Source organism: Homo sapiens, chromosome 2, assembly GCF_000001405.40.
Source record: "Homo sapiens chromosome 2, GRCh38.p14 Primary Assembly".
NCBI classification, from domain to species: domain Eukaryota; kingdom Metazoa; phylum Chordata; class Mammalia; order Primates; family Hominidae; genus Homo; species Homo sapiens.
This window is the reverse complement of record NC_000002.12, coordinates 23,202,184-23,209,873: the sequence shown is the minus strand read 5'-3', so window position 1 is coordinate 23,209,873 and position 7,690 is coordinate 23,202,184. Positions and strand designations below refer to the sequence as shown.

Genomic DNA, 7,690 nt, shown 5'->3' with positions numbered 1-7,690 from the left:
ATTCCACCTTTGTCTTCATTCAACCAAGGACAAGATTGACCAAAAAAGGGATGGAGTGGGGGAAGGAAGAATGTTCTAGGCACAGGGCCACAGGGCCAAAGGTGGTAGGGAAGATGGTCTATGCCTCAAATGAAAGAAGGTGGATCTGGCTGGCTGGATGGATGGTAGGGGGAGGGAGTAAGTGCCAGAGATGAACTACAGAAATTATTTTGCACCTACATGAGGAAAGTCCAAGCTGAGAAGACTGGACTTACCCTGAGGACACTGAGCAGCTTTAAGGACAAGAGTGACATGGAAGATCCCTCTGGAAATTATTTGAATGATTTGAAATGGAGAATTATTTGAATGGAGGTAAGATTAGAGTCAAAAGATGATTGAAGAGGTTGTTGTAATAATTTAGTATTCACTCATTCACTCTCCAGCTCCTGAGTCTCCTCTCTGTGTTGTGGGGAGATGAGGAGTTGGAGAAGGGGTAATGCCTCCTACAGCCTTTAAAACTCTTCTTACAACTGATGGAGGCTGTGTTTCTCCCCTTCACTGGGATGAAGCTGCTACTGGGCTGGCCTGCTCTAGGCTGAGCCCTGTGTGAATTTCCTCATTCTGAAAAAAAAAATACTGGGTGATCATGAGGCTGTCAGCCGTGTTTCCTGCTTCACAAGTAGAGCTTTGTTTGAAGAAGTTTCAGAGTGCAAAAGTCAGATTGAATACAATGGAGACACAAAATGAAATTGCTCTTTACAAGAAATACAGGTGCAATACAATGGAAATACACTTGTTTTAACACCACAAATGTCCTGAGGATTTCTAAAGGCTACTGAGTAGATTAAGCCAAAGTGGATTTAGGAAAGGAAAGAAGGAAGGCTGGTCAGAGAGGCATGTAGGGGTGTGTGGGTGTGTGGGTCAGTACCCATATGTGTGATTGGTAAGCAGGGACTGTATGAACTTGATGGAAGGGCTTTGAACACTAATTAAAAACTCAACCTAGGATAGAGGTTCCACTAGAATGGGAAGAGCTGACTCTTCCTTCCCTACCCCCAGTTATCTCCTCTGTATTCCTGTGTTCACCATTGCCTGCATACATGCAGATACATCCTCATGCTCTGTCTGCTGACTAGTGAGTTCACAGATACCCCACAGACCCTCTGGATTAGGAACCAGGGGAAAGAGGAACGGGAAACAAACATTCCACACACTATGTCTACAAAATGGGAGAATCTCTTCCTGAATTAGGTATTTTTAATCCTGGTCTAGGCTGCTTTCCATGACCTGGGTGAGTACTTTGTACCAAGAGAGTCAGTCAACAGTCAGGAGGTATTTATGTAGTGCCTGCTATATTTCCACATTGCTGTAGGGGCTAAGCTTGCAATCAAGACTGGCAGTTTGCAGGTGTAGAGTGTTTTGTTTGACTTGAACGGTGCAATTTACTTATTTATTTTAGTTTAAATGCCTTTAGATGGAGCAAGCACTTGACAGTTAATCATAGTCTTGCACCTAACTGTTGCTTTGCTTGCAGTTTATGAGAGAAGAGACTCACCTATATGAAAGGATTGTGTCCCTTCAATCCAAGGGGTGAGTCAATGTTCTGGGCAAAAAGTGTCTGAGAGGGCAGGTACCTGAGAGAGCCCGGGGAGTAGCTGGGAGGCTTTGAGGCAGCACGTTTGTTCTTTGAAGTCAAAATGGTTAAAGAATCATTTAGCTTTTTCTTCTGCTTGGCACAGCTTCTACTTGCAAGAGCTGTGGACTTTGGTCCCCAGACAAGTTGGCGTTCAGAGGAAATAAATGATTGAGCGACTAAAGAGGATGTTTTCAGAATGAATTTTCAGTGTTGGGTCTAAATTGAGATGAGGCAGGGGTGGAGAACAATTACTCAGCTCAGAGATTCTCTTCCAAACTGACTTCATCCTTCCTCTGATTCATTCTCAGCATCATCCTAAGCTGCAGAGAGACTGGATCTGGCTTTTTGAGCAGTTAACTGGGTCTTACACTTCCGGCTCACAAGTACTCATGTCCTTGTGTTCATTCAGCCCTTCATTCAACAAATGTTTACTGAGCACCTACTATGTGCCAGGTACTGCCCTAGATGCTAGGGACACAGCAGTGAATCACACTGATACAAATTCTTGCCCTCATGGAACTTACATGCTAATGTATGTGTGTGGGAAGGGGAAGACAGGCAAGAAAATAAATTAGCAAGTTATGTGGTGTGTTAGAAGAAAAAATGATATGCAGAAGATAAAATGGGAATGGGGTGGGGCATGTCATGGGGCAGGTGGGGGAATGATGCAATTATAAATAGGGTGGTCAGGGACGGCTGCACCAGAAGGTGACATCTGAGGCGAGACTGGAAAGAAGTAAGGGATGGCAGGGTAAATACTGGGAGAAAAAACATTGCAGGCAGAGGGATGATTCAGTCAAAGGCCCTAAGGCAGAAACAGGTCTGCTTTATCTGAAGTGGCCTGTGTGATGGAGAAAGGGAAGGAGGAGTCATAGGACAAGACAACAATTGGGGACAGAAGATGTGGGCCTTGCTGGTGATTGTGAGGACTTTGTCATCCACTCTGATGAGGACAGTAGCCATTTCAGGGTTTTGTGCAGAGGAGTGTCATGATCCACCTTACCTTTCATCAGGATCATTCTAATAGATGGTGGGAGCAAGGGTGGAAGCAGGGATTCAGAGCGGAGACTGTTGCAGTGGGCCTGGTGCAGTGGCACTGCTGAGAAGTGGCTGGACCATTGAGAGCTATGAAGGCAGAAGGACCATGTACTTCCTACTCATGTGGTCTCTCTAGGGAGTTTGGTGGGTTGGGAATTCATTGTGCTCCTTATGTGCTAAACATTGTCCTATGTGCTTCACATATAGTATCGTCTCGTTAAGTTCTCTGGCATCCGGTTGAGGAAGACATGTTTCTTCCCATTTTACAGATGTTGAAGTCCAAAGAGGTGAACAATGGAAAGACATCAGCTGTGAGTCAGTGGGGAGTGTCTGAGGATGGAGGCGCTATGGCTCCCTGGAGATCTCTTGGTGTGTCCACATGCCGGGTGGGTCCACGGACAGGAGCTCTTCTGGTGCTTCCCTCACTCCCCACCCGACCCATGCAGTACCCACCCTCTGCAGCTGGGCCCTCCAGCTGGCTCAGCTCAGCCCTGTTTCATGTTTAGTCGGTCTTTGATCTTCACTCTTTAACTAAAGCCAGAGCCAGGTGAAACCTGATTTTATCCTTTTCTCAAATGTGAACTAAGCTCAAAAGAAAGAGAAGGCTGATATGGACCCACATCTAAACTCACATCTGAAATAAAAACTTGAGTGGATTTTCCTGTTGATCTAGAATTGGTCACTGGGGCTGAAATTGAGGACAAAGAGATGGTAAGTCCTGTGCAAGCTGGAGGGAACTGCCAGCACTCGCATACAGCACTAGCCTTGCTGCCACCAGCTCTGCCCCAGGTCCCTCCCAGTGTGTATATGAGAAGGGATTGGAGGGGAGAGAAAGTGTAAGCTAAAGTCATTGCAGCATGGGGTTCATTATGAGAGGCAAACCTCTCGCCCTTCCATTCACCTCTAATTCCCCAAGTCAAGGGAGGGGCTCAAGAGAATTGAGGGTGCCTATAACTAGAAGAAGAAGCTCATATTCTAATTTGTGAATTAAACGTCTGCTTAGATCACCAACCTTCTGATCTGGCCCTATGCTTGGAAGAGCAGGAGGAGAGACAAGGAGGGAGAGAGGGCAGCGTGAACACAGTGTGACCAGAGACAAGCCTGCGTGTCTGCATTTCAGTGTTTTAAGAGGACATGAATTTTCCATGGGTCCAGTGGACAATGTGGAAGGTGGGTGGGCTTGAGTTGCCCTGCCTGTTTTGGCACCTGCTGCTGTGTGGGTGGTGGGCCCCAGCAGCAGGAGACTGCAGTGTGCCAAGGTACACGGAGAGGTAAGAGCTGGAGTTGGACCTCCCATCTCAGAGGAGTGTGCAGGGGAGGGGAGCAGCCCCGGATGGAGGCTTGTTGGTGAGAGTTGAGGCCAACAGCAGAGTTAACTACCAAGCTTGCATTCCTGTTCCATGCTCTTTCCACCCTGAGCTCCAGAGAAGCCAAGCCTTTAAGGGTTGAGAGGCCTAAGGGTCCAGAGTTCCTCACTCCAAGCAGTCAGGGTCCCTGTCAGCCTTGCTGGGGGTTGGGGGAAGGGAGCAGAACGATTTAAATTAAGTTTGAGATTGAAGTTTTAAACATATCTGACTTTTAATAACCCAAAGTGATCAGAAAGTTATGAAATTTGATGAAGGTGCTATTAAGAGATGGGAATGGGTGATTAGATGAGGCTTGATTAAAGGCAGTGAATCGAAAAAAACTCATGTTTATATCCCACTGTGTTGAGACACATTTTAGAACATTATTGAAATGGAACCAAAATCTGAAAAATATTAGGGCTCCAGCCAGCCCTGCTCTGACCTGGACTGTGAGTGAACTGGCAGGCCCTGGCAGTGATTCGTGGGGTGCCTTGTTTGAGGGAGTGGCATTGAACCCTTGGAGTGTGTCCATTGGAGTGCAGAATTGAATGTCACCCAAGTCATAGAAACAAGTGGAGAAGCTCTTCAGAAACATTTAGTGAGCACCAGTTGATTAGTTAAATTAATAATTCAAGTATACAAAACAAGGAGGAAACAAAAGGAAAGATTTCAGAAGTCTCTTAAAATTGGGAAAACTCTGAAGAAGGAATAGGCAGCCACCAATGACAGGAGTCCCATCCATGCAGGATAATGTTCCTGGGAAGCACTTTTTGCCTGGGGATTTTATGGAATATTTAGAACAGTGACAGTCAACAGGGGCTGCCCACGTGCAAAACCCCCTTGTGTTAGGAAGCATTCCCAAACATCTGGGAACCACCTGTGAAGTAGATCTTAGCCTATACTCCTTCCTATAAAAACACTGAGGATTTTTTCTTTTTTAATGTTGGAAGACACTTTCCTAATCCCCCAATTCCCTTCCTTCCTAAGAGAATAACTGGATACTTGGCATACTTTGTGTTTTGGCCACAGAATACATATTTTCACATGACTGTAATCATAGTGCAGACACAATTTTGGTCTCTCCTTTAGCTGTAAGTGCAGACTTCCAGTTACTTCTCTTCATAATGGTAGAATATTCTATTGTAAATGCTAGGGCACACTGAACTTTTCTTGTATGGTTATTAGTATCTTCAAAATTATAGATGCTAGTGTGGTGAATATCTTCATACACATGGAGCTTCCTCCTTTTCAATAATGTTATGAAGATACATTCTCAGAGGTGATGTTTCAGAGTCAGATTAGGTGGCTTTCGTTGACCCTTGTAGCGCTTTTCTGCCGTGGTCCCGACTTACGGCGTTCACAGTGGGACAGGGATATTCCTGGAGGTGTGGATGGGGTGCCCCATGATGGCCTGTCACAGGCAGAGTGCACTGCACAGAAGAAGGAAATGCTGGGATATTTGCAGGCCACTCATTGATCAGGACAAGGAGCTGTGAAGGAACTATTTAGGTTCAAGTATTTGGGGTTGAACAGTGTTGACTTTCCATATTGAATACAGGACATTTATCCATCTCTTCTTCCCAGCCACAATCAATGATGGTTAAACTCTTAAGAGCCCACCTGCTGTTTGTCATTACAAAACCCAAGGTCCCCAGGTAAGATGAAGCCCAAATCATTCATTTACTTTAAGTCCTGGTTTGAGAAATGACTCCAGTACACAGATCTGTGGTAGGTCTCACAGAAGAGGGAAAAGGTGGAGACTACTTTCCCCTTGCTCAGATGAAGCTTCCTTCCCTCCTCTTGACATGCTCAGAGTATGGCACCATTGTCGTCATAATCATCATCAGTCACATTTGAGCACTGACTCTGAGCCAGCACTTTCTCAATTTCACCATCTCGTTTAGCTTTCACAGCAATCCTACGAGGTAGATAATGGCATCATCCCTATTTACAGAGAAGGAAACTGAGGCATAGAGGTTAAGTATTAAGTAATTTGCCCAAGGACACATAGCTAATACGTGACTGTATTGGGCCATGAATGTGGACAGTTGGCTAAGACAGAATTTCTAGCACTGAGGAGCTCACACCGTGTGTGTGTGTGTGTGTTTGTGTGTTTGTGTTTGTGTGTATGTTGTGTTTGTGTGTGTGTGTTTGTGTTTGTATGTTGTGTTTGTGTGTGTGTTTGTGTGTGTGTTTGTGTGTGTGTGTTTGTGTGTATGTTGTGTTTGTGTGTATGTGTGTGTTTGTGTGTGTGTGTTTGTCTGTGTTTGTGTGTATGTTGTGTTTGTGTGTGTGTGTTTGTGTGTGTGTGTTTGTGTCTGTGTGTGTTTGTGTGTATATTGTGTTTGTGTGTGTGTGTTTGTGTGTGTGTGTGTTTGTGTGTGAGTGCACATGCATATGTGTAAGGTTGATAGACCAATAAATGGGTGAAGCAAAACTGACAGTGGCCCTGAGAGCTCAGAAGGGAGCACCTATCTTAGACTTGCTTCAGGATGGGGAATAATTAAAGAATGTTTTCCAAAATAGCAGCTGGTTGAGGAGGAATAGGAGTGAGCTAGGAGAATTTCACTCTGTGGTTGGAGATAAAAGATTTATTCCGTAAGGGTTAAATTATAATATAAGACTCATTATGGTCTGGGTCAAAATATCGGCCCTGAGTGTCGTGTGAGAGTTGTCAGAGTGGGCATACAGAAGGGGGATCACGTTATTGTTGAAACGATAGAGAAGAATATGGTGGAGCCATTTTTGAACTGGGGAATTGGGGGAGGCGTGTTGATGAAGAGGGATTCCAGGTCTAACCTCTCACCTGATGGTTTGTCCTGGACTCTGCAATGGTCAGCGATGGGTCAGCTGACTGCCATAGCATCCCAGCCATAGGAGGAGGCGTGGTGATGGCTCTTGTTTCCTTCAATAAATGCTCATTCTTTTCATGGATTGTGAAAGTTATGCTGCATTTTCTTGATTCTAAGACCCCATTGATATTACGGACAGAATTGTGTTTCCCCCCAATTCATACATTGAAACCCTAACCCCTAACATGACAGTATTTGGAGACAGGACTTTAAAGAGGTAATTAAGGTGAGGCAAGGTCATCAGGGTGGGGCCCTGATCCAATAGGACTGGTGTCTTTATAAGACGAGGGGACCCCAGGGATGTGCATGCACAGAGGAAAGGACTTGTGAGGACAAGCAAGGAGAGAGGCCTCAGGAGAAAACAGCCCTGCCCACATCTTGATCTTCAACCTCCGGCTTCTAACTTCTGTTGTCTAAGCCACCCAGTTTGTTGTACTTCATTATGTCAGTTGCCCTAGCAAACAAATACAATTGACTTAAGACACACCATCAATTTAACAGTAATTGGGGTGAGAGGGAGAAAAAAAAGAAACACTGCATTAAATGCACAAATAGTCTGCAAGGATGCATATTAGCATCAAGAAGAAATGTTGTAGAAAACTTAGAAAATATAGAAAACACATGGAAGAGACCCTAAAAAATCTTACATAATGACAGTACCCAGGTAGGACCATTGTATTGTTTTATATCACTGATACAAATACACGAACATACTCATTTTGTGTAAAATTTGTGTTGCTGTTTTTCTCTGATGTTATAAATATTTTCTGATATCAAGACCTTTTTTCAAACTCCATTTCAATAGACGCACACCATATCACATTACACCATTTGTTCTC

The 7,690-nt window shown here is 44.6% G+C and overlaps 1 long non-coding RNA gene across 2 annotated transcripts; it reads left to right on the top strand.

Annotated features, from left to right (window-relative positions):
• The first annotated feature begins 358 nt into the window (after positions 1-358).
• Positions 359-6,137, top strand: LOC102723389 (uncharacterized). Of its 2 annotated transcripts, XR_427009.3 has the most exons (4): positions 359-1,569; positions 1,924-2,068; positions 2,923-3,364; positions 3,657-6,137. It is a non-coding gene; the product is annotated as an uncharacterized LOC102723389 (long non-coding RNA). The 2 variants fall into 2 exon arrangements; XR_007088667.1 differs by lacking the exons at positions 1,924-2,068; positions 3,657-6,137 and having other exon boundaries at positions 2,923-3,309.
• Positions 6,138-7,690: the final 1,553 nt, after the last annotated feature.